This window comes from Homo sapiens, chromosome 1, assembly GCF_000001405.40.
Source record: "Homo sapiens chromosome 1, GRCh38.p14 Primary Assembly".
Taxonomy (NCBI): Eukaryota; Metazoa; Chordata; class Mammalia; order Primates; family Hominidae; genus Homo; species Homo sapiens.
In genome coordinates this window covers 39,649,252-39,674,302 of record NC_000001.11, presented here as the reverse complement: position 1 = coordinate 39,674,302, position 25,051 = coordinate 39,649,252, and the positions used below count along the sequence as shown (strand labels likewise).

The 25,051-nt window shown below is 51.1% G+C and overlaps 1 protein-coding gene across 1 annotated transcript, besides 4 other annotated features; it reads left to right on the top strand.

Annotated features, from left to right (window-relative positions):
- Positions 2,004-2,413: a silencer, noted in NCBI's record as "silent region_709". NCBI's record gives its function as "represses an Ori minimal core promoter by ATAC-STARR-seq in GM12878 lymphoblastoid cells {active_cell/tissue: GM12878}" and the evidence as "EXISTENCE:reporter gene assay evidence [ECO:0000049][PMID:35858748]".
- Positions 2,196-23,074, top strand: NT5C1A (5'-nucleotidase, cytosolic IA). Its single transcript, NM_032526.3, has 6 exons — positions 2,196-2,399; positions 8,067-8,234; positions 8,653-8,782; positions 10,869-10,991; positions 13,040-13,224; positions 14,817-23,074. Exons 1-6 carry the CDS (start codon positions 2,265-2,267, stop codon positions 15,180-15,182), a joined length of 1,107 nt encoding a protein of 368 aa, NP_115915.1. The 5' UTR covers positions 2,196-2,264; the 3' UTR covers positions 15,183-23,074.
- Positions 15,932-16,226: an enhancer, noted in NCBI's record as "tiled region #4263; HepG2 Activating non-DNase unmatched - State 12:CtcfO, and K562 Activating DNase matched - State 5:Enh". NCBI's record gives its function as "activates a minimal TATA promoter and a strong SV40 promoter by Sharpr-MPRA in HepG2 and K562 cells {active_cell/tissue: HepG2 | K562}" and the evidence as "EXISTENCE:reporter gene assay evidence [ECO:0000049][PMID:27701403]".
- Positions 15,932-16,247: a biological region, named in NCBI's record as "Sharpr-MPRA regulatory region 4263".
- Positions 16,178-16,247: an enhancer, noted in NCBI's record as "active region_815". NCBI's record gives its function as "activates an Ori minimal core promoter by ATAC-STARR-seq in GM12878 lymphoblastoid cells {active_cell/tissue: GM12878}" and the evidence as "EXISTENCE:reporter gene assay evidence [ECO:0000049][PMID:35858748]".
- Positions 23,075-25,051: the final 1,977 nt, after the last annotated feature.

The window sequence follows — 25,051 nt, the reverse complement described above, 5'->3', positions numbered from 1 at the left end:
CAGAGCCAGGCCTTAGCTAGAACTTGGGAAACTGTCAGGAGCAGAGGCGGCTCCATCTCAGGGCAGCATGGTTTCTCTCATGTGCTGCTCTCTGCACATCCTTTCCCATCTTGATCTGCTGCTCATCTCATTCTGCTCAGAGAGTCTCCACCTGCGCCGAGCTTTACTTTGCATATAACTGCAGTCTGCTGAGGCTCACCCAGGTCTCTTCGGAGCCAACTGTATTTCACAGCATCCTCAGCTTCTATTCCAATGGTTGACTGCCCAGCCCATTTCCCAATTCCAAATTCCTGAGAAAGACAAATCTGCTTGGCCCAGGTCATCTTTTCAAGCCAATCACACAGATTAAAGGCCGCTGGACAGCATGGGGGTGGCTCACTTTTGTGTGAAGTGCCCACCTCCATCCAAGTAACCACTCTATGTATTCTTCCTGAGTTACTTCATCATTCTTCTCCATGAGGCACCTGAGAATAATTGACCTCATTCCTAGAGTTTCAATTATTTATTGCAGTGTAACAAGCTACCCCAAAACTTGGTGCCTGAAACAACAATTTATTATTTTTGATGATTCTGTGAGTTGGCTGGGCTCAGCTGGAAGGTTTTACTGCTTCAGGTTGTGTTGGCTGGCGTCACCCACATAGCTGCACTCCACTGGGAGCTGAGCTGGGGCTGGGACAGCCAGGATGGCCTCATTCACATGTCTGTCAATTGTGCCTATAGTCACCTGGGCTGTCGCTAGCTTCTTATCCTCCAGGTCCTATCTGTCTCACTACGTGGCCTTTCCAGCAGGATAGTCCAGACTTATTTACATAGTAGCTGGCTCCCAAGAGGGCAAAAATGGAATCTGCAAGGCCTCTTAAGACGTAAGCTTGGAAACCACAGAGCACCACTTCTACTCCATTCAATTGGTCAAAGCAAGTCACAGGGCCAGCTCAGACTGGACTCCACCTCTGAATGGGAGGAATGTCAAAGTCACATTTCCAAAGGACAGGCAGGATGGAAGAGGTTTTTGGGCCATCTCTGGAAACAATCTTCTAGAAGTAAGTCTAAACACACTTCCCCCAATCCTAACATTTTATTATGATTTTTCCCTTCCTCCCACACAAGGGTTGGTTTATTCCTCCCAGGACCTGGTGGAGGCTGAGGGGATCACTCCATTCTGTAGCCCCCTCACCTCCCCAGTCAGAGGCCCTCCTAGCTAAGCCAGTGTTTTCTCCTGCTTCTCCCACCCACCCATGCACACCTCTGAGAGAGGCTGTCTGCTTCCTGGCCTGTACCTTGGGATGGGTGACATTTGTGTCTGCACCCTGAGACTAGTACAGAGCTCTGCATCAAGAGGGACAACACCCTGGAATTCCAGGATGGTAGTTCCGAGGCCCCTCTTCTGCCCTCCCTCTATCCAGCCCCTTCATGGCCTATAACAAATCACCCCAAGCTGGGCAGGTGGGGGCCTAGGAATGCGCGCCCTCTGCTGACCACCAAAGGGCCAGCAAGAATTCGGGTTCAGAGTCCCTGGGAGTCTCTCTGGCCTGGGTCCCCACCCCAGGCCAAGGTCTCGACCTGAGACCACCCGAGCCTGGTCTCAACATGGACTTCAAGGGCCCCTCCTAGGTGGTGTGGAGGAGCTGCCGGGTTGGGCCCTTCACTGAGCTCCCGCTGGGAGCAGGCTTCTGCTAGTGAGAGGAGCCATCCATGCATCACCTCCTGCCCGTCTGCCGGATGGACTGGCCTCGGAGGGAAGGGGACATCGTCAGGATCCCAGGGTCCTAGCTCCTAAAGGAAAGATGGGCAGCTAGCTTTTGGGAGGGGAGCGGCTAGCTTTTCATTTTGTCCTTTGGGGATCACTATCCTGGGGGAAAAAAAAAGTTGTCAGGCCTCTCCTGTCTCCGCGCCCTGCAGCGCCTGCGAAGAACATCATTTTCGCAATCCCCAATCCGCTGCAGCCCACAAACCCAGAGAGCCAGAGAGCCCCCCTCACCACCCAACCGGCTGCTGGCGTGGGTCGGTCGGGGAAGGAGAGCCCAGCTATCCCTCATACCGTACAGCAGTAGCAGCAGCAGCGGCAGCGACACACGGGCGACCGAGAGGGCCAGTGTGACCTCCCCCCGCCCGGCGGGCGGGGAGCCCAGCTCACACGCACAGCCTCCTCGCCGCTGCCCGCCCCCTTCCCTCGCCGGGACTCGCCTCCCTCCTGCAGCCCAGCCCCAGCCACCTCCGCGTCTACGCCGCCGCCTGCTCTGGCCGGGCCGGGTCAGAGCCGGAGCATGGAACCTGGGCAGCCCCGGGAGCCCCAGGAGCCCCGCGAGCCCGGGCCAGGAGCGGAGACCGCTGCGGCCCCGGTCTGGGAGGAAGCCAAGATTTTCTACGACAACCTCGCGCCCAAGAAGAAACCCAAATCGGTAAAAGCAATGCACGGGTATGCGGGGGACGGGGGAAGGGTTACCCCGGAGGAGGGGTCATAAGTCTCTTGGGAAGGGACCCGTGGCGCCCCTCTGGGAGGGGACGCAGCTCCTCAGCCCCAGAATGCGCCCTGCAGCTGGCGCGGGCTCGGGTTTATTTTGGGAGCTCTGCTCTGGTGTATTTTTTTACCGGGACTCGGGTTCCACGCCAGGCTCCCCCTCCCCCATGCTGTCATCAGGGCCCAGCTAGAGGCCCGCAGCCCCAGCCCCTCCCCACTCGGGCCGCCGGGGAGCGCGGATTGCACTTGTTGGCGAAGCTGGTCCGCAGCGCTTCCAGAAGCGCCCCAGGCGCGGGTAACCAGACTTTGGGAACCCGGTTCCTGGCTGTGCGCTCCGGTCTCCGCCATCTGGGCATCGGGCTCCGGACCTGAGACTCTGCGTTTGGGGTCTGGCTCTGGGTCCTGGGCCCTGGGCTGGGGGCAGTGCGCTCCCCGCGTCCTAAGGAAAGGGAGCTGCTCTCTCCAGGCACTGGGATCCACACTCTGCGCTGGGGGGCGATCGGCGCCCCTGGCCGCAGGCTCCCAGCGCTGGACTCTGCCCCCCAGCTCGGGTTCTGCTCCCCTTGCAGTGGGCATTAACATCCCCACGACCCTGTGGTGGTGTCAACCGTCTGGGACCTCACAGAGGAGCTCTCTCCTCTCTGCCATCAAACAAGTTGATGATGCCCTGGTCTGCCCCTGGACCTTGCTGTCTCCAACTTCCCAGATCTCAGAGCTTGAGGAGAAAACCGAGAATAGAGGTTGGCCCACAGCGGTCCTCCAAAGAGCTCCAGCTTGATCTTAAAGCAATTTGCTGCTTCCCTCCAAGAACCCTTCCCCAACAGGTCCACCCTATCAGCAATCATTCAATTAGCACCTCCAAGCTCTGCTCAAGAGTGGGGATTGAAGAATTAAATAACCTGAGTCCCTGCCTCAGGAGCTCACTGCACAATGATGGAGGCTCCAGAGATGAGAGCCTAGGGGAGTTGGGGGGGGAGTAGAGTAGTGACATCACACTGGGGAAAGCTTTGTAGAAGTGGCACGTATCCTGATCTTAAAGCCTGAGTAGGTGGAGTTTCCCAGGGAGAGGGAAACAGGACAGGCAAAAGTCATGCAGATGTCTCTGAAGCTCAGGACTGTGTTCCTGAATAAGTACTGAATGAAGAATGCAGGATTGTTGGAAGAAGAGCTGGAGGGATGTGGAAGAGCCCACAGAGGGCCTTGGGGATCATGTTAAGGAGTCTGGACCTTACTCAAGGGGGTCAGGGATTTCCAAACTAGCTTCCCCAAGCCCCATGTTTCAGGGAGTCTGCACACATGTGAATCCAATTTATTTTCTTTCTTCTTCGGACTATGTTTTAAACAATTAAAAATGTGTAATAAAACCCAACTCACTCTAATGTATTAGGTGGACATTTTAGCAGCTTGAAGGCCACTAGCTTGTGCTGCAGATTTTTTTAAAGCAAAGCTCAGAATAAGGCTTCCCCTGTGATCTGTTCCATCAAAGAGCGTCTTGAGATTGTAAGGCCTTTAGTTTAAAACAAACCAAAACAAAAAACCTTTTAGCATTTCCAACCACTTATTGGTCTGAATCAGGACTTTCTCAATACTGTACAAATACAAACACAGCAACAACTTGGCCGGATGCTGAAGCTTAAGTCTGCACTGGCATTCTAGCCGCTAGTTTCAAATTTGTTGTCATGCAAACAACTGTGTTGTTTTCATTGGTTGACTTTATAATAAATAAATAAATAAATGTAATGCATTTGAATCTGTAAAATAAATAAACACCAATTATATATGTTATATCTGGTACCATATGGTATGAGATATATGGTAATATCTGGCTTACATATTGAATTCAAAGTTTATTTGAATTCATTTAAATAAAAGGTCAACCTACATTTAAACAAACATATGAATACCATTATGGAGCTATTACAGGATTTTTCATCAGGGGATTAACTGGGTCCCATTTTTATTTTAGAAAGATCACTCTGGGATGGATTGGAAAGGGTGAGTCCGGCAGCAAACCCACCAGTGAGAAGGCTGGTGCCTCTCTGAAGAGGAAGCTGGATGAATGTCAATGCTGTGGCCTGAGTGATGCAGAAGAAGGGATGGAGACTGGGGACTGGGGCAGTGAAAGCATCAGTGCTCAAAATCCATTTCCTCCCCAGGCACCAAGGAACCGGAGAGCTCAGGCCCAGTTGTCAGTCATGACCCCTGGATCAGCCCCTGACTCTCATGGTTCTCTGGGAGGCAAGAAGCCTGGAGGCTTCCCAGCTCCTATTCCTTCCTGCAGAAGCCCCTCTTCCCACAGGCTATTTTGGGGGCTCTAGGCCTCATGGGCCCCATCATGGCCTGGCCTGGGCTAATTCTCATTCCCAGGGGCCTGAGTAAAATATTTAACGCCTGAAGGCCTGTTGGAGGCCCTCACCTCATGGGGTCAGAACACTTCTTCAATCCAAAACTCTCCTGTCCCTCTCTCTTTCAGCAGCCCTTCCCTCTCTAAGTCCTACTGGGAATAACAGCTTTTTGCCTATGTTTCTATCTTGGACCCAATAGGCAGAATTACGTTAGCCTAAATGGGAGCTCCTCAGGAAGTCCAGGTGGGGGTGGGCTGCACTCTGTTATTCTTCCATTCCCATCCCCTAGCCGGAGCCATCAGCCTGACCCTGAAAGGCAGAGAGAGCTGCCAGCACCCTGGTTTCCTGGAGCTCAGAGCTCCCAGAGTGAGCCCTTGAGTCACTCTGACCCAATTCCCAGTCTGAGATCAGGGCTTCTTTCTGCTCTCTGGAGGAACTGTTCCTAGATGCCCCTGCCAACACATGGCCACCTCTGCGGCCAGGCCCAGGAGGGTCTCTATGTCCACAACTTGTCCCTATCTCTGGCCAGCCCATTTCACCTGCTCCTTCAGCTCCACCTGGAGCCTGGACAGGTCATTCATCAGTCCCAGCTGGGATCCATATTTCTTACACAGCCATGGCCTCTGGGATCTTAGACTCCACCTCACTCATACTGTGTCACAGCAGTCTAAGTGGGGATGCACAGTCCTGCCCTTGGGACCCCCATTCTGCTGGGAAACAGAGACCTGCCGTTAGAAACCTCAGTTTGTGGGCACGCCCTGATCATTTCTCCCAAATCTGGAAAGTGAAGGCTGGGGGAGATGTTTCCAGGGAAGGCGGAAGTAGCAAGGGATAGAATCTTCTGGGAACTGTTGAGGAGAGGAATAGCAAGGGGACTGCAGTGTGGATAGAGGCCAGGCTAGAGGCCGGAGACTTGAGATGTCATCTTGCTCTGCCTTGACCTAGAGTAACAGGCCCCTTTCTGGGCCTGTTTCCCCATCTGGAAAAGAGAGAAGCAGAGGACTCTTGGGGCCAATGCAACCAGGACGTTTTTCTTGCAACAACCAGGGGCGGGATGGATTGGGGTCTGTCTGGGTAGCTCAGCCAGAGGGAGCCCAGGACTTGGCAGTCTGGCAGGGACTGTGGGACAGAAAGTGAGGAGCGAGACCTTAGCTGGCTGCCAGGGTTGGAGTGGCAGGCTTGGGAACCTGCCTAATGGGGCTGGGAGGGCAGCTGACTCTCTGTCCTTAGAGGGGTGATGGCCCTGTCCCTGGGGCAGTAAGCCCAGTGGGTGGAGCAAGCTCAGCTCCTGTTCCAAAGGCCTCCAGGCTTCCAGGGTTTATGAGAGTGGGTCTCCCCACTCCACCACCAACCCCACCCTTAGGACACACACATGGTGGTAGTCAGCAACTGAGAAAGGTATTTGGGTTGAACCTCCAAGAAGAAGCACCTGTCCTGCCACTGCCTTATGCAGACCTTGCTGGCCACATACACCATCTTGGTTGGGGTTAAAAGTCAAATGCAAACTGAGGTCTACCACATGACCTTGGGGAACTCTTTTGTCTTCCACTCCTATTATAAGGTTCTAAAGCTGCATTTACCACTAGCCACGTATAGCTGTTTAAGTTCATTTAAATGAAGTAAAATCTAAAATTCAGCTCCTCAGTCTCATTAGTCACATTTCAAATTGTTCCACAGCCACAGGGAGAGCACAGATTATGGAATATTTCCATTATCATAGAAAGTTCCATTGGACATTGCTCTTTTAAAAGATGGCATTGGCCTCTGTCTTGGGGTTGGATCATGAGCTCCATGGGGACAGGGATCACACTTGTGTTGTTTCCTGCCATGTCCACCACGGTGTCTCTCAGATGGTAACCACTCAATGTTGTCAACTGATTGGAGCCCAGGACTGACCCCAGGAAGAAGAAATGGGGTTGAGTACATGACCCACGGATGATCAGGAGAGGCAAGAATGCAAGGTGCATTTATGAGCCTTGACCTCAATTTGAGCCCCTCATTTTTAATTTGTAAAGTGGGAATCAGGACCCCAGGACTGCTCAGGACACAGAGATGTGGTGGGATTCTCTGGGTATCTGTAAATCCCTTGGGCACTCATATTCTGATCCTCCCTAGGGACTATAAAGGTCCAGCTGCTGTCTGGGGTGGCGGGTACCTATAGTCCCAGCTACTTGGGAGGCTGAGGCAGGACAATTGCTCGAACCTGAGAGGTGGAGGTTGCAGTGAGCTGAGATCACACCACTGCACTCCAGCCTGGGCAACAAGAGTGAAACTCCATCTCAGAAAAAAAAAAAAAAAAAAAAGAGGGGGAAAGTATGACCTGATGTGAGAAAGCCCAGGTGGGGCAAAGCTAGGGGATTGGAAGAGGGGAATGGAAAGAGAAGTAGGGGTCTGTTGTGAAGGGCTTTCTATTTCCACACTAGAGGCTGCCAGCCATATTCTGAGAATAGTGTGCACCACTAAAGAGGGGGGCTGTGGTCAGATCTGAACTTTAGAAAAATCCCCTGACAGCAGCATGAATGACAGATTAGAGAATGTGACAGATGATGATGGCCTGAACGAAAGAAGTGGGTGGATTCTAGTAGAGTTGACTCATTTCGGTAATCGATTGATGAGGAAGGGAGTTGAGGCTGACTTCCCAGCTTCTGCTTCAGTAATGAGTGGATAGTGGTTCTAAGCCTTGCTATGAGTTACAGGGAGAAGGGATCAGGTTTGGGAGGGGAGAAGGTGATGGGAATTCAGCCTTGGGAATGTTAACTTTGAGAGGCTGTTAGTCAACTGGGGCAGTTAGATGGATGTATGAATCTGGAGCTCAGGAGACAGATCTGGGTTGCAGATACATTTTTTATATAAATTGTCATATTTATGGGCATCATTTCTTCCTAAGGGCATGCAGCTCTTATTTTACAATGGAAACCAACTGAGATCATCTCCAGCATCAGTCACACGTTGGCCACATACATTGGCTTCATTTTTTTCTTGTGTCCAGATGCCTGGCTAGATTGCAAACTCCCAAGGGCATGGCCCTCCCTCCATCAGATTGTGCTTCCAGCAAGGGAGCCAGCACCTCTCTCAACCCCCATCTGGGTCCGTCATAGATGGGGTCCTGACCTAAGTCCACATCTGCTCAAGGCTGGGCCTCTTTAGGTAGAGACTGGGTCTGGGTCTTCTCCATGTCCTCACTACCCAGGGAGACTCACACATGTGAGCCTGCCTCAGGGGCAGTCATCTGAGTGACAACCCCTTCTCCCATACCTCTGCAGCCCAAGCCTCAGAATGCAGTCACCATCGCTGTGTCCTCCCGAGCCTTGTTTCGCATGGACGAGGAGCAGCAGATCTACACGGAGCAGGGCGTGGAGGAGTACGTGCGCTACCAGCTGGAACATGAGAACGAACCCTTCAGTCCCGGGCCAGCCTTCCCTTTTGTGAAGGTGAGGGAGCAGTTCCACCACTAGCTCATATAGCGCCTTCGTGGGGATTAGAAAAAAGCACTCCCATGAGTATTTGAGTAAGGTGAAAGGGCCCCTCTGGGCAGATGTAACCACACAGGTACACAGCTTGGCTAGGTGACAGAGTCTTTTGGGAAGAAAATTCATCCACCCTCTGGACAAATGCAGCCCCACGCCTGGTAACCAGCTTGGTGAGTGGAATGCGGGCTGGATTTCAGCCCCGACTCTCTCTAGCGAGGTACCCCTGAGTGGTAAGCAACTTGCATTAGGAGAAGGTAGTTCATGTGCACTTATCTCATCCCAAGCATGGCTCCTCACCTCCCCTCACTGAATCCTTGGCCACCAACTTCAGGTATCAATCCTTGGGGGTCTAAGCTGGGGGGTGCCCTCTCCTTTCCAGGCTCTGGAGGCCGTGAACAGGCGGCTGCGGGAGCTGTACCCTGATAGTGAGGACGTCTTCGACATCGTCCTCATGACTAACAACCATGCTCAAGTGGGTGTCCGCCTCATCAACAGTATCAACCACTATGGTGAGCATGAGCATGAGGATGGGGGGTTTGCCCTGGGACACCCCTACCAGACCCCCCAGGGATGGGGCCACACCTCTGCAGGATGGAGTTGTACTGACCAGAACCCCAAGTCCAGTGTGTGCTGGTAAATTCGCTCTTTAAACAAACAAACAAAACCCTGACTTGTAGTGTTGCTAGTTTTCAGGTGTAAAATATTTCCACCAGGACTGGTTTCAAGCTGTCAGTGGTTGAACAACACAAATGGCTCACAAAATTTCTGAATGTTTAACTGTGGGCTCTTGCAAGCCAGTCCAAGCCAGCTCCAGCACACCCCACTCTCCGTGTGATTAGGTGAGACAGTTACTGCCTCCCTGCCTCAGTTTCTCTAACTGTGATGGGGCTAACAGGCCTCACAAGGCTGCTGGGAGAATCAGGTGCAGCTGTCAGAGTGAAAGGGCTTTGTGTCTTATTCTAAACTCAAGGTTAAAAATAATAGCCCCTCCAGAGCTAGCTTAAGCCCAGGAGAATTTTTTATTAGGTTACAGGGGTGTCTTTCAGAGGGCAGGAAATAAAATTGGGCCTACAAAGACCTGAATCCAAGTACTAGAAATCTCTCCCGGCTCTTCTTTTCTTCAGGCCACATGAACCTTTATTTGTGCTTCTCTAGCAAGTTTGCTCTTTTTTTTTTTCCTCTCTCCCCTGAAATTGGATTTCTCTGCTTTTCCTAAATAAAAACCGTATTCAAGAAAAGCAGGCCAGGTGCGGTGGCTCACTCCTGTAATCCCAGCACTTTGGGAGGCCAGGGCGGGTGGAACACTTGAGGTCCGGAGTTCAAAACCAGCCTAACATGGTAAAACCCTGTCTCTACTAAAAATACAAAAATTAGCCTGGTGTGGTGGCGCACACCTGTAATCCCAGCTATTCGGGAGGCTGAGGTATGAGAATCACTTGAACCCGGGAGGCAGAGGTTGCAATGAGCCGAGATCACCCCACTGCACTCCAGCCTGGTGACAGAGTGAGATGGAAAGGAGAGGAGAGGAGAGGAGAGGAGGAGAAATCCACTCTGGGGAGAGAGAGACAGAAAAATAATACACCTGGCCAGGCACGGTGGCTCACACCTGTGATCCCAGCACTTTGGGAGGCCGAGGCGGGGGATCACGAGGTCAGGAGATTGGATTGCTAACACCGTGAAACGGCGTCTCTACTAAAAATACAAAAAAATTTAGCCGGGCATGGTGGTGGGGCCTGTGGTCCCAGCTACTCGGGAGGCTGAGGCAGGAGAATGACGTGAACCCGGGAGGCGGAGCTTGCAGTGAGCCGAGATCACGCCACTGCACTCCAGCCTGGGCGACAGAGCAAGACTCTGTCTCAAAACGAAAAAAAAGAAAGAAAGAAAAAGAATACACCTATATTTATAGGTTTACCAGGCCTGGTTTTTAGCAACCAAGAGAGTCTAGTTGGCATTTTTAAATCCTAATTTCAAATTCTTGGGAGCAGGGTTGATCGTAAAAATATTTAACCACCTGTGTGACATACACACTGCGTAATCAGGACAGACTCTCCCTATAGTGCTGAAGCAGGGCCCTGAAGGACCCCTGCCGTACAAGGCATTACCGCCTTGTGTTGTGGACTCTGGAGAGGACAGAGGTCCTGGGTAAGGGGCTGCGAGAGTGACGGGTAACTTAATGGGCTCAGAGCAGCAGCCGTTTATCAACCAACAAATACTTTACAACTTTTGCAGTAATGGGGACCAGCGGATTGGCAGCCTAGGTAATCAGATTGGCCCAGCTTGGGCCAGATGTCTGCTCTTATCCAATCAGCTATGGCAGCTATGGCCAGGAGGCGGGGTCACACAGGCATGTAGCACTGTGATTCCTTGACAAGAGGATGTCCCTGTGAGCTGGGCAATTGCTCTAGAGATGTGATCGTCCTCATTTCATGAAGGATGGAGGGGCTCAGAGGGGAACACTGGCCTAAAATTACACTGAGACACGCTGTGCTGCCGTACCACACCCAGAACTAGGATGGTGTGCACTGGGCACAGAGAGACTGCCCTGAAGCCCAGGGTTGACCCTGGCCTCACCTGGGTCCTTTACCTCCTTCCCAGACCTGTTCATCGAGAGGTTCTGCATGACAGGTGGGAACAGCCCGATCTGCTACCTCAAGGCCTATCACACCAACCTCTACTTGTCAGCCGATGCGGAAAAAGTGCGAGAAGCCATTGATGAGGGTAAGTCTAAGTGAAGAGGAAGAATATGGGGAGTGCAGCAAAGGGGTCCCTGAGGTGGGAGGCCTGGTCCTGAAGTTCCGAGCAGGTGCTGGGAGTTGCCATGGTAACTAGAAGGCAAGGCTGAGCAATACTTTCCTTAATTCTTATAATCTGTCCTATAAATTCTGAAACCAAGGCCCTACCCATTCCATCTTCCTACATCTGGCCCTACTGTGTCATGGATGCTTTTACTTCTCAGCATCACCCAGCCTTCTGTTTCCATGGAAACCCTCTCTACAGCCCAGAAAGCTACTTTCTTCTATGATTCCTCCAAGTCAGAAGGAGTTCTGATTCCTGTAGGACCATAGGCAGCCTCTGCCCTGCCCTGGGCCAATGGGAAGGAGGATTCATATCTAGTCCAGCCTGAAAGCCTGAGTGGTGGGGTCTGGGGAATGGCCAGCATCTCCAGCAGCTGGGCTGGCCAGTGCTTAGGGGAGTTTAGGAGACCCAGATGCAAGTACTGACAAAGAGAATGTCCCTCTATGTGTGTCTTTCGAGGGGCAGTTTTGGGTGGTATCCATAGTCTCAGTCCTCCCAACGAGGTGCGTATCCTATTGCACATGAGATAAACAGGCCCATAGAGGAGCAAGGACTGGCCAGGTACCTGAGAGGGTTCCTTAGGCTGAACACTAGTGGCAAGTTTCTTTATCAACCAACAATATATTCACTTTTCTCTTCCTCTTTCATGTTGTCTCCTGCCTGGAAGCCTGGCCCCTCTCCCCCTGATAACTCACTCTCCTGAGCTGCTTGGGAGCTCCTAGAGGCTTTCTTTAACCAGGAACCAGGAGCCATTTCCCTAGACAGATGTCACACCCTCTGGTTGGGGCCTTGGCACTGGCATGTAGGTGTGCCTCTGTGTGTTTGTAACTTGACCTCAGGCTAGGGAGCAGGAGAATGGTCCACGGGGAGGCCCTGTTGAGGGTAGGGGTGGTTCTGGGTCATCTTGATTCCAGTGCTGGCAGAGCTGAGAGGGTACCTGGCTTGATGCCTGGCACTGGCCCTGCTTGTAGTATCCTCAGGCTAGTGAAGTTGTGTGCAGGTAGCACTGCTCACTCCTCCCAAAGCTCACCTAAGCCCAGCCTCTGTGATCCTCAGTTTTCAAAGAGTTGGGCTGAAGTGGTCTTTGAAGAGATGGAGACTAGGGAATGAGCTCGGCCAGTTGCCCAGGTCTCCAGCCTCCCAGCACTGGCTCTCTGCCATCTAGTGCAGCTCTAGCCTGGAGCCTGAACCCCTGAGAGGCATCCTTGGACCCCTGGAGGAGCCCAGGGTTGCAGTCTGTGCACACAACTAGCCATCACTTGTGCTGTCTCCCAGGGCCACTTAGGTTGTTTTTTGGAACCCTGAACAGCCAGCCGCCAGCAGGGCATACCTGGGTGTCATTGTGGCTGTAGACTGAGGGTGCACGTACTCACCTCACCCGATTGCAGCCTGTGGTCTCAGCCCCAGAGCTGAGAGGCCCTTAATTTTACAGTGGTCCAGAGAAGGTGAGTGACTTGCTAGAACCAATGGTGAGGGAGTGACTGAGGCCAACCCAGAGTTGGGGCTCCTTCCCAGCCCCACTGTCGGTCTACATCAGGGGCTGTGAGGCACCCCTGGCACGAAGGCAGTGGCCGATGGGACTCATGTTTGGCTGGTCCACAGCAGCATGATCTTACTAGGTATTAAAGTATTGAAATTTCCTTCACCCTGGTTGGTAAATATTTCCTGCCCTGAGTCCTGAGTGCCCTCCTGCCCCCTGGGACTCCTCCCAGACTTTTCCACAAAGCAATAACCAACAGGGTAACCTGGCAAGGCAAGGGCCCTAGAGATCTCCTTCAGAGCCACTGCTACTGCCCTCTTCTTGGCCAGGATCCATGCACTACCAGTTTTTACAAGTTTTAAATATTAGTTTTCATCAGCCTTGCCCTGAGTCCTGTATGAGGCAGGTGGGGCAAGGATAGCCTAAGATAGCCCACTCTAGCCCTACTGCCCAGCCTGAAGGCAGACAATGCTTGCCTCTCTCTGCCTAGGGATCGCAGCTGCCACCATCTTCAGCCCCAGCAGGGATGTGGTTGTGTCCCAGAGTCAGCTGCGCGTGGCCTTCGATGGGGACGCCGTGCTCTTCTCGGACGAGTCGGAGCGCATCGTCAAGGCCCACGGGCTGGACCGATTCTTCGAGCATGAGAAGGCCCACGAGAACAAACCTCTGGCTCAGGTGCTCCCCATAGACCCAGAACCCCTGAGAGGAACAAGGCAGCTCCCCAGACCTGCCCTTGGCCTGCACTCCCAGCCTGGAAGCAAACAAACCCCAGGCTCAGCCCAGATTCCAGCCTGGTCCCCTCGACCCTCTCACTTGACCACTGACCCCCCATCAATGAGCTTCCACCTGCTTTGTTGAGCCCACATCCCCTCACTGAAGTCCCAACCCTCCTTTGAAGCCTCCATTCTCTATCTAAGCCTCTCTCTAAGCCCATCCCCCCTCTGCAGCTCAAATCCCCATTTCTGAGGTCTCCTTTCCCTCCCTGACGTCCCCATTCTCTATGTCCCCACCTCTTCTCTGAAGTCCCTGCCCTGCTCTGAAGGCCTCATCCTGTCTCTCTGAAGCTCCCATTCTCTCTCTGGAACCCTCACTTCCTCCCTGAGATCCCCCGCCCCTCTGAGACCATGCCCACCCTCTTAAGAAGCCTGTTTCCCTCACTGGAAACAGGAGGAAAGGAATTGCTGGACTGGGGCGCCTCATTGGGGTAGGGAGATCCAGCTGGGTGTGACATCTGGGGCAGACCATTTGCTTTGGGACATCTCCTGCCATCCATCCCTTGGCTGGGGGCACAGGGACCCTCACTCACCCTCAAACTGCTCAGTGTCTCTCAGAACAGAATATACCCTAGAGCTTGGTGGAAATTCCCTGGAGTTGGGGCTGTTGGGATTCTCCAGCTCTGCTGGGAGCTCTTATTTGAGCTTTTAACAAAAACCCGGGAGCTCAATAATCTCAGAGCCCCTCTCCAAGAGCTCAGCAGGCTTCCGCTGTGGCTCCTAAATATTCAGTTCATGTCTGTTCTTGCGAGTTGCCTCTGAAATCCTTGGGAATCCAGGGCAGGAGAGTTTTCCTACTAAGTGGTAAGCAGAGGCCCAGGAGACCACTGCTTATTCCAGTTTACCTAGCAAGCGAGAGGTCTCCAAGACGAGGAGCCCACTTTTGTTTATTTCTAGCTGCTTTGGAAATAAGCAGTTTTCTTCATCGTTGTCTGTTTTTTTATTCTCACATCCTCAGGAAGCTTCATTGTTCTGGGCACTGTAGAGAATAAATTGTCCTTGACCCTAGAGTGCTTGAGGATGACACCCTGAGCCACCTGGGTGCCAGATGGGCACGGTTGATACTCAACACTTACACATTGGTCCATCTTCTCCAGCTGTTTATAGCTGGAGTCCATTCTGATTGGAGGGCGCCCATGCCATAGTTACTAAATGGTTTTAATATCCCCCCTGTTGATGGGCATCGAAGGCCACAGTTACAGACCTTCAGGACAGACATCTGTATACCTTGATGGGCATATGGATGGATGATACATATCAACAGTTGCCCTGATAGTTATCCTGACCCAGCACCAATATACAATAACACAGATCCCCTGACTAGAGCCGCGCTGGTGCACACAGTAGCCTAAGCAGGCATAAGCAGAGCTAACTGAAAGATTTAGGGATCCTGAAGTTTTCCACACCAAACAAGACACTAGTGCTTTAGGGAGAGCAGGGGGCAAATATTTAGGAGGTGGTAGAGCTAACAATGTTCCCCTTGCCTTCTCATAGGGCCCCTTAAAGGGCTTTCTGGAGGCACTGGGTAGGTTGCAGAAGAAGTTCTACTCCAAAGGCCTGCGGCTGGAGTGCCCAATTCGTACCTACTTGGTGACAGCACGCAGTGCAGCCAGTTCCGGGGCCCGGGCTCTCAAGACCCTGCGCAGCTGGGGCCTGGAGACAGATGAAGCCTTGTTCCTTGCTGGAGCGCCCAAGGGCCCTCTCCTTGAGAAGATCCGCCCACACATCTTCTTTGATGACCAGATGTTCCATGTGGCTGGGGCTCAGGAGATGGGCACTGTGGCCGCCCATGTGCCTTATGGTGTGGCACAGACACCCCGGCGGACTGCACCTGCAAAGCAGGCCCCATCTGCACAGTAGCTGAACCACCGGCTTTACTGATCCACATTGCTCCAGGCTCCCTGACATACTTCGACACCTCCTCTGGTAGATCCCTCTAGTTTCTCACTGTTCTGTCCTTCTGCCTGTCTGCCCTCATCCCTATGAGTGATGTACTTGTAGGAAATTATGCAGACGGGTCTGGCATTCTCAACATCCCTCCTTTGGGGCAAATTCTGTGCCATGATCCTGAGTAGGAGAGTAGGACTGTGCAGAGTAGCTGGATTTCAGGGGGGAAGTTAATGGGTCTGAGAGGGGGAGGGTCAGAGAAGCCAGGATTTCTCAATAGTGACTTAGGATGAAAACTAGCTCAATGTGGTGTAAACAACACTGCTATGGGAGAGAGTGGATCTGGCTTCTAAGCTCTGTCCTGGTATTAACTGCATGACTTTGAGTAATCCCTCCCCTTCATGGCCCCCAGTTTCCCCATCTTTTGGGCAGTTTTCAAGCTCCCTTTTAGCCAAAGAAGCTTGGTTCTTTAAGATCGCCCTCTTAGAAGGAAGCATTCTGTGTCAGTGCTGCTGCTGGTATGTATGGCACCTTTGTGCAAATTACAAAAGGACACTGTCTAGGTGAATGAAGAACAAAAAGACATCCCTTCCTCTGGCCTGACCCAGTCCCATAGTGGGGTACACAGCTTAGTTAGCAGGATAGAGGCTGGATTTCAGCCCCCATGTGTCCCCTCAGCTCAGAGGCCTTTCTCAAATGGACAAAATGCAAAATCGCCCCCAGCAACTCTATCTATAATTTTACACATTTTGAAACCACTGGACAAGATGACCTATCTGCTCATGTGATTCTCTAACCTGAATGGTCATCAGGGCTCAGCCCAGGAAGCAAGGGGAGTGAATTGGACACGCATACAAACTCTCCTCCAGCCAGCAGGGGGCACTGCAGGCTCTTCCCGGGAGAAGCATTAGTAGCTGCCTGCTCAGTGTTTCCTTTGCTCTTGCTTTGAGCCGAAGTTCAGTTGCTCTTGCCTGCCAAGACCCTCACTTCCACCACCCTCATTCCTCCAGTTATTGCATCCTGTTGAGCAGCTCTGCTGGTGGGGAACGGGACAGAGCATGGGTGTCTACTGTTGTGGCCTCAATTCTAGGGGAAGAAAGTGCAGTGGCTGAGGTAGGCGGTTGTCCAGGCTGAGCCCCAGGGTGAGGTGCTGCCTGGGGTGAAGTGGGAAGTGTCAGGAGGTCTGGTGTGAGACAGAAGGTACTGAGACAGTGATGCTTGGAGAGGAAGGAGCTGAAATGTGCACTAGCAAAATTCTCCAGCTATGGGATTGTTAGTGGAAAGCCAGTCAGAGCTGCCTTTGGAGGTAATGAGCTCTCCATCAGTGGATGCTGAGCAAGGGCTTCCAGGATGAGATAACCTCCCCATGAAATGCATCAGCGGATCCTCCACATTTGCAAGAGCCCCTGCGGCCCCTTCTTCACCACTTTCAGAGGAGAACTCTCACCGCTTGATGAGTCAGCCTCCTCCTTTGCTGAGCATCCCTGGCTCTCTCCAGAGGGAGGGTGGAAGCACCAATGGCTGGTCCCCAGGGAGACAGAAGGGGTGAGCAGACATCTGTGTGTGGACTGATTGCCAGGCTTCTAGGAGGAATCCTAGTCATGAGCAAGCACTTTGTAAAGAAAACCAAAAGTATCATGAGAGGGGCAGAAGCCTGGAGATGTGGTGGTAGGAAATAGGGGAAGAGAACACCCTGGGGTTTTTGATCTTTGTCCTTCTGGGGACTCAGCTCAGGGTCTGAAAGGGCACAGGTTCTGTGCAGTGTGGGGCAGGGTAAGAGATGCAGAAAGATATTCCAGGAAGGAGAACAAAGTGAGAAGGCAGAGACGGTTCTCAAATGAGCAACGATTTGGGCCAGAAGAGAAAGGCTGGGCTGAGTTTTTACTGTCATTGTCAGAGGTCTCCATGAGGCTGGTCCCAGGGAGGAAGGGTATGGCTGTGTGGAGTGACTGGGACAGATACCCACAGTGACTGCTTTATCAGGGGACACTGGCATTATTGCCCCTGGAAGGGCATATGATAATGTCTTTGCACGAGGTCATTTCCACTGCACAGCCAGGATCCTTCTGGCTAACAGAGGAGGCCTTGGGGCAGAAGACCCGGGTTGTGTCTACTTCCAGAGCTCCAAGCCTAGACAGAGGTACTGTGAGGGCCAAGAACAACCTCAAGGAAACAAAAAAGAAGTGAAGGAGGGAGCTCAGCCCTGAGTCTCCTTTATTCTTGGCTGAACTGCAGAAAGGCCCTCTCCTTCTCACTCCCAGGGGTCAGAATCACCCCCGTGGAAGAGCCTCCAAGGCTCACAGAACCAGTGACTGCAAGAAGCCTACAAGGCCGGGCACAGCCCAGGCTCACAGCATGGCAACAGGCTGACTGACCAGGGTGGACCTGTGCACTGGGGACGGCACCAGATGTCACCTAATTAAGAAAAACTGCAGGGATTCTGGGACCTGTGTGGTCTTGCCCCCAGGGCCTGGTGATGAACACCACTGATGATTCCATGTCTCTCAGGAAGCAGGAAAATATGATGCTGGAAGCAGAAAGATAAGGTGCAGTAAAAGCCATGGATTTCACTGGAGCCATCATTAATAGACACAGACAGCCCTGGGCAATGGAGAAACACTAAGAGTCTAAATTCTATTATTGAAATCACAAATGAGCATCTCAGGCCTGGAAAAAAGCTTTCAGTCACTGGAATAAAAAGCCAGAAATCTGAGGGGCAGTCTTAGGCAGCAGTTACACGGGCCTTCTGATTGTCTTAGAGGTGAGGAGGTGCCCAGGGATGAGGAACATTGAGTGTTGTTCACCAGTAAATTAAAAAGCCAGGTGAACACCAAAGTCCCAGGCCTAACCAGGGAATGCAGCACTGAGGTGGAGCAGCCACGGCTTCTGAAACACTGGACCCCTTTAGCTGAGAGCACCACTTCCCCAACAAGCCCTGCAGAACACTGGTTCCAGGAGATGCCTGCCAGCAAAATCCCAGAGCCAATGGGACTGCTGCTTAGCAGAAAAATGGAAGCCCTGTTACTAAGCACTGAGACTGCTCAGCCAGTTGCAAAACATCCCCCTCTCCTATCTGAGAGCCCAATCAGAGTAGTGGGGATATATCAGAATGTGCCAGAAAAAAATAGAAACTAGCAAGAAGTTCAAAGCCAAGATGGATTTGGCATTATAATGACACTCAATTGGTGTGCACCAGTACAGCCAAACTGATGACTAAAACTTGAAATACCTCCATAGCAGTTGGTAGATAATGCTGCGCTGAGTCCCCTGAATGTCTCCTCGTGGCCTCAGCTGACCTTTCCACTGTGAGCGCTCCATTTTCCCACAATGCAGCCTCTAGGAGGCTGCAGCGGCACTATGGCCAGTGTCTACTCTGTTTTGTGGTGTCCTGGCCATGCTGGTTTAGGGAGGCAAAGTAACTTGTCCAAAGCCATAGAGCTAGTAAGTGGCAGTGCTGGGACTCAAACTCATGTCCATCTGATTCTAGGACCCAGGTTTTCAACCATTTTGTCATACTGCTCATACATATGCATGGAGATAGCCAGAGAAGCTCCATTCTGAGGTCTTCACTAAAGGAGTTTACTTACCTGACAGTTAATATGTTGATTTCCTGCATGGTGAAATGCTGGAATACATTTGAGTGCATGCTTTTATTATAGCTTCCTAAACACCTACAAATAATTTAAATTAGAGCCAAACGTTTGTGAACCCCCAGAAGCACTTCCAAACAATCCCAAGTTTTGAGAAACCCAGTGTGAAGGCCCCTGTTTTGGGCTAATGCAGAGTTTGGCAAACTCTGGGCCCACGGGCCAAATCTGACCCATCACCTGTTTTTGTAAAGAAACTTTGACTGGGGCCAGGCACAGTGGCTCATGCCTGTAATCCCAGCACTTTGGGAGGCCAAGGCGGGTGGATCACAAGGTCAGGAGATCGAGACCATCCTGCCCAACATGATGAAACCCCGTCTCTACTAAAAATACAAAAATTAGCTGGGCGTGGTGGTGCACGCCTGTAGTCCCAGCTACTCGGGAGGCTGAGGCAGGAGGATCACTTGAACCCGGAAGGCGGAGGTTGCAGTGAACCGAGATCACGCCACTGCACTCCAGCCTGGCATCAGGGTGAGACTCCGTCTCAAAGAAAAAAAAAAAGATAAAAGAAACTTTGATTAGAACATAGCCATGCCCATTTGTTTACATATGTTTATGGCTGATTTCACACTGCAACAGCAGAGTTGAATTGTTGCAACAGAGGCTGCAAGCCAAAAATATTTATTATCTGGCCCTTTACAGAAAAATGTGCGGACCCCTGGGCCAAGGCAGACAGCCTGGCTGATGCCTCAGTGGGATGAGCCAGGTCACATCCACCTATGCATCTGTGGGCGGAGGCTGGCTCCACTGCCAAAGGGAAGGGACATGGGGCTCCATGCCCATCTGAAGATTCCAAGTTTTGACTATTTTCAAGCGACCCATGGCTCATGGTAATTTGCAGTTTTGTTGATGCACTGATTTGACTTGAATGTGCTCTCCCAAGCTGATGAGTGAGAGGGCAGGAGCAGGGCCCTTGGCTGGGGATGAGCCCAGCTGGCTGTCCAGCATGGCTTTGTATTCCCGACTCATTTCCTCATGGGGCCTCTTAGGCAATGATCAGCCTAGTAGGTGGATGCGCATTAGCTAAACATGAGTTTTGGATAGATTGAAGTGCCCAGTGTTGATTTCAGCAGCTCCGAGCCAACAAGGTCATCCATGTACTTTCTGTGAAAGCAAGAACAAGTCCGTCGTGAAGAGGGTCCCGTGAGGACTTTAGCCGGTTCAGAAGTTACTGATCAAGTGAGAGAGAAAACTCCTGTAACAGCTGGAATGGCAGTTTCTTGTGGCATGAAGGCACGTGAGCAATAAACACAAATACCCCTCATAATGGAATTGTGGATCAGGAGAATTCTAGGACTCTGCAAATTTAGAGATTTACCAGGCTTCCAGGATCCACTGCAAGAACAGACAGTATGGAAGACGCCCCATCTACAGCCATCATTGCTGTCGCTATGCCATCATGATACTCTTCTCCACTAAGCCCAGACTGGGTCTCAGAATCTTTCTCTATCCAGCATTCCAGGCAGCCACTACCAGCGGGCTGGAGCTGGTGTGAAAGATGAAACCTATTTTGCCATCCCTATTGGTGTTGGGTTTTGCTATCCAAGAGGCATGCAAGGCCCAGAATGTTCATCCTCTGAGGATATGATGCAACTCTGAGGATGTCAGAGCCTCACCTGACTTGGGTAGAACACAAGGAGGTGGATGAATAGCATCGTGTGGCTGGCGGCTTCCCAGATCACGGGTTTTATCTAGTCTTAAAGCAAAACACAAAACCACCTCCTTTCTGCCAGTAGGTGGCACTGCAGGCCGGCACGCAGCTGCTGGCAGTAGTCAAGTGATTCTACCCACTGATTTACTTTTCTCTCCCACTGACTTAGTGCTGCGCTGGACTCTCCCCACGGTTAGCTCTAGCCAGCCAAAAAGGACTTCAGGTGCTCTGGAAATGTTTGCTAAATATGCCCGAGTGACGAGCCGATTGCTCTTGCCGGCAATTACTGTGATTGTGTGTATGGATGCACACATATTAAGTTTGTGCAACAGGATAAAAATCGTACACGTACGTGTATTTATGTGGGTGTGTGTAATGGGCCAGATATCTCAGCCAATGACTCTGTGTGTGTGTGTGTACTCACTATGTGTACAGATGGTTATCTCTGTTAACTGAGTGTCCTGGGACCCACATACTGATGGCCAGCCCTAGGATAGTTGTACCCATTTCCATCATAACATGGGCATTTGCGTATGTGCAGCTTGGGGGCCACCGAGACCAGCCCCCAACCTCTGGCCAAGAAAGTCTTGGCTCCTAACCCTCTGCCTCCTACCCCTACTCCTGAGCCTTGGGAAGGAAGTGGTAGAATCTGTGTAAGGGCAATCCTTTTGACTATACCTGCCTCATCATCTCCATTTGTTTCTTCCCTCCCCCTAACAGTGCCAAGGCCAACGTGTCCAGTTGGGCAGATTGTGCACTGCAAAAATCTAGAGGGCGCCATTGGTATTGTGACATGGGTAGTACCTATTAGACACCTGCACAACCTGCCAACTGTATACAGATGCCCTGGTCATCTCATGGCCATGGCTACGAAAGTTGCCTTCCCTCCCCACTACCAGCCCTGCCCAACCTAGGCAAAGATTCCTGCCTCTGCTTGAGTGTTCTAATGTGGCCCAGAAGTGACTTACCATTGACCTTAATTGGGAAGTATCTCCCTGATGGGCCATCCCCTAGAGGCCTTTGGAATTCCATTTATAAAAGTGAAATGTGGCTGGGAACTTTTCAGTTACTCATCTTTGCAAAGTGAAAGCCTCTGTAAGGCAAACCAAAGCTGTGAAGACTGGGGTCACTGACTCCCACACTCCTGGCCTGTGGGTGAATATATGCCTTCATGGCCATCTGCCACGGAATTAGGGTAAAGGCCTCAAGGCTAGTCTTGTAGCTAACTGCCACCAAGAAGCCACCAAGAAAATCACTGAGGTCACCCTAGACTGGATGCCTGGGCCAGGGTCACAAACCCCAATGCCTACAGGGGCGAGGCAGGAAACATAAATGAGTGGAGAGGATTAAGCCAGTTCTTCACTGAGAATGGAGAACACTGTGGTCTGCCATGGTTGCTGCCACATGGGAATGTGGCCTGAGGTTGCCGGATAGTCCGCCCCATTTTTGAAGAGAAGCTGGGAATCTGGACTTTTAAATGTTGGCAACTATTTTGAATTTAGAAAACACCATCTGGGCCAAATAAAACATATTCTGTAGGCGAGATCCGGCCCTTGAATCTCCAGTTTGCATCCGCTGGCCCAGGCCCAGAGACTTGGGTTTTTAAGACCCAAGTCACTGAGAGTCTGAGGATATTACACTCAGATTCTCAGTGATGGATATTTAAGAGACCTCAGAGATGACCTAGCTCAGCCTTTGTGTGTTCAAAACTGCGTATGTACAAACTTCTTTTTTTTTTTTTTTTTTTTTTTTTTTTTTTTTTTTTGAGACGGAGTCTTGCTCTGTCACTCAGGCTGGAGTGCAGTGGCACAATCTTGGCTCACTGCAACCTCCGCCTCCTGGGGTCAAGCAATTCTCCTGCCTCAGCTTCCTGAGTAGCTGGGATTACAGGTGCCCGCCACCATGCCCAGCTAATTTTTTGTATTTTTAGTAGAGATGGGGTTTCACCATATTGGCCAGGCTGGTCTCGAACTCCTGACCTCAGGTGATCCACCAGCCTCTGCCTCCCAAAGTGCTGGGATTACAGGCGTGAGCCACCACACTCGGCCTACGAACTTCTTTATTAATGTAATAGCGCACATATACTTAACTTCTGGTTTCTACTTAAGAGCATCTCAATAACCTCCGATATAGAATACGATGAAAAATGAAACCTGTGTGCATAATGTGCTTGTATCTACCTGTCAGAAGCCCTTTGCTTTGATAGCATTTGCTGCCTCAGTCTTCCTCATCACCCAACCTCTCTGGGTTGCTTGTTATGATAAACCTAAGTGCCTCCGTAAATGGTTAGAGCATGTGTTTCTTCGTCTTTGTGACTTCCCTTGTCTGGGAATAAGACTGCTTGTACTTCTCCCAGCTTTGCCCTCTTTGGCCTACTAGTAGCACACCCCATCGATCCAGACCTGTCTGGCTCTTTGTAACATTTACCTGGTCACATGATAAAGGGTGCTGAGTGCTTGCCAGTGTGGGTCCCTGTCACTTCTCATGCATGTCCTATACCTTAATTTTACCACATGTGCTTCTGCTTCTTAAAAGCCATTCAAATAAATGGAGAGGGTTTTAATTAACTTACGTTGTCTTGTTTTTTCCCCACAATTGTATTCACAAACTGGCATATGGCCCCTCATGAAATGCTAATGGTGACGTAGGTAATGAAGAGGCCTGGGACCCGATTCATCCACTAGTGCTGGGATCTTTCTGTAGAATCTGTCCCAGCACATGAAGACCACCCTGAGGGGAGATTCCGCAATGGACAGCAGCCTGAGAGCATCAGAAGGCAAGCTTCCCCCAACAGGGCTCCTCACATGGACTCGGTGTTCCCATCTGGAACTACCAAGGGTGGGGATGGAGAGGGAGGAAGAGAAGATGAGAAAGGATGTGAGATGAAGGAAGAAGGGGATAACTCAGACTCCAGCCCTCACATCATTCTTCTTCCTGCACCCCAGGGTCTTCCTACACCCCAGGGTCTTCCTGCACCTCAAAGTGTCTGCAGAGCAGGAATCCAAGAGTGGCTTTTCTGGGTGGTTCTTACTCAGAGCCTCTCATGAGGTTGTAGTCAAGCTGCCAGGTGGAGCTGCAGTCAATGGAAGGCTTGCCTAGGGCTGGAGGAGCTGCCTCCAAGATGGCTCACTCACATGGCTGTTGGCAGGTGACCAGAGTTCCTCACCACAATGTTACCTGAGTGTCCTCATGACATGGCTGTTGGCTTCCCTGAGAGTGAGTAATCCAAGAGAGCAAGGCAAAAGCCACACCATCTTTTATGACCTAGCCTTGGAAGTGACATGTCATCACCTCTAGCATATTCCATTGGTCACACAGACAAACCCTGATACAAGGTGAGAGGGGACTACGCAAGGAGGTGAATATCAGGAAGTGGAGATGATTAGGGGCCATCTTGGAGGTTGGCTACCACATATTATTATACCTCCATCAGTCTGGTATACCAGGGGCCCCCAAGGTTATGTTAACCGTTCTTCTGCCCTGTGGCAAGACTAGACTTGAATGTGTCTCCTGGATTCTCCAACCTGAAGTCCCCTTGCTTTCCCACCTGTCCCCACCCAGTCACCAGGAATGGAGAGAAATATGATTCTTCATCTACTTCCTTCCCACACCTCCTGTCCAACATTCCTTCAGGGGCCTTGGAGTCACCTACTTGGGGACATCATCGAAACTGTGTTCTGAGATGTCTTAGTCTCATGGTAAAATTTTTATAATGTCCATAAGGCCAGTGGTCCCAGAGCTGTTTGTCCTGTTTTATGACCAGTGGCCCATGTCCAAGGTGAGGGAAAGGCAGGGGTGGGGGAAGGGTGGCATCCTAACACCCCCTCCTTCCTAGGCCTTGGATATCAGCCCCAGCCTCTGGTGCCATAAATGAATCCTCTACTTTCTGACATGGTCTTGGACTGGATTTGGGAATAAAAACCCCATGATGTGATACAGATGTGACTGTGGCTTGGAGCTGGAACCAAAAAAAAAAAAAGGAGTAACCACCAGATAAAGAAATCACAGACATAATTCTTTCTCCTCCCGTGTGCACTCCCTTTTCAACTTGCAAAGCTCATCCATGACCTAAGGCCTATGTGTTCTGTTTTTTTTTCTTGTGCTTACTAGTAGCCAGTTTTATTTTCCAATAGGTCACTTAAAGAAACATTATTTTTGGCCGGGCGCGGTGGCTCACACCTGTAATCCCAGCACTTTGGGAGGCTGAGGCGGGTGAATCACGAGGTCAGGAGATTGAGACCATCCTGGCCAACATGTTTAGTAGAAACCCCGTCTCTACTAAAAATACAAAAATTAGCTGGGCATGGTGGCATATGCTTCCACCCTCAAGATCTCATAATCTCCCAAAGGCCCGACCTCCTAATATCATCACATTGGTGATAAGGTTTCAGCATATTAATTTTGGAGAGGTATATTCAGACCATAGCAATTTGAATCTTCATTCTTTTTTTAAAATTTAATTTAATTTAATTTAATTTTAAGTTCTGGGATACACGTGCAGAACAGGCAGGGTTTTTGGGTTTTTTTTTGTTGTTTTGTTTTGT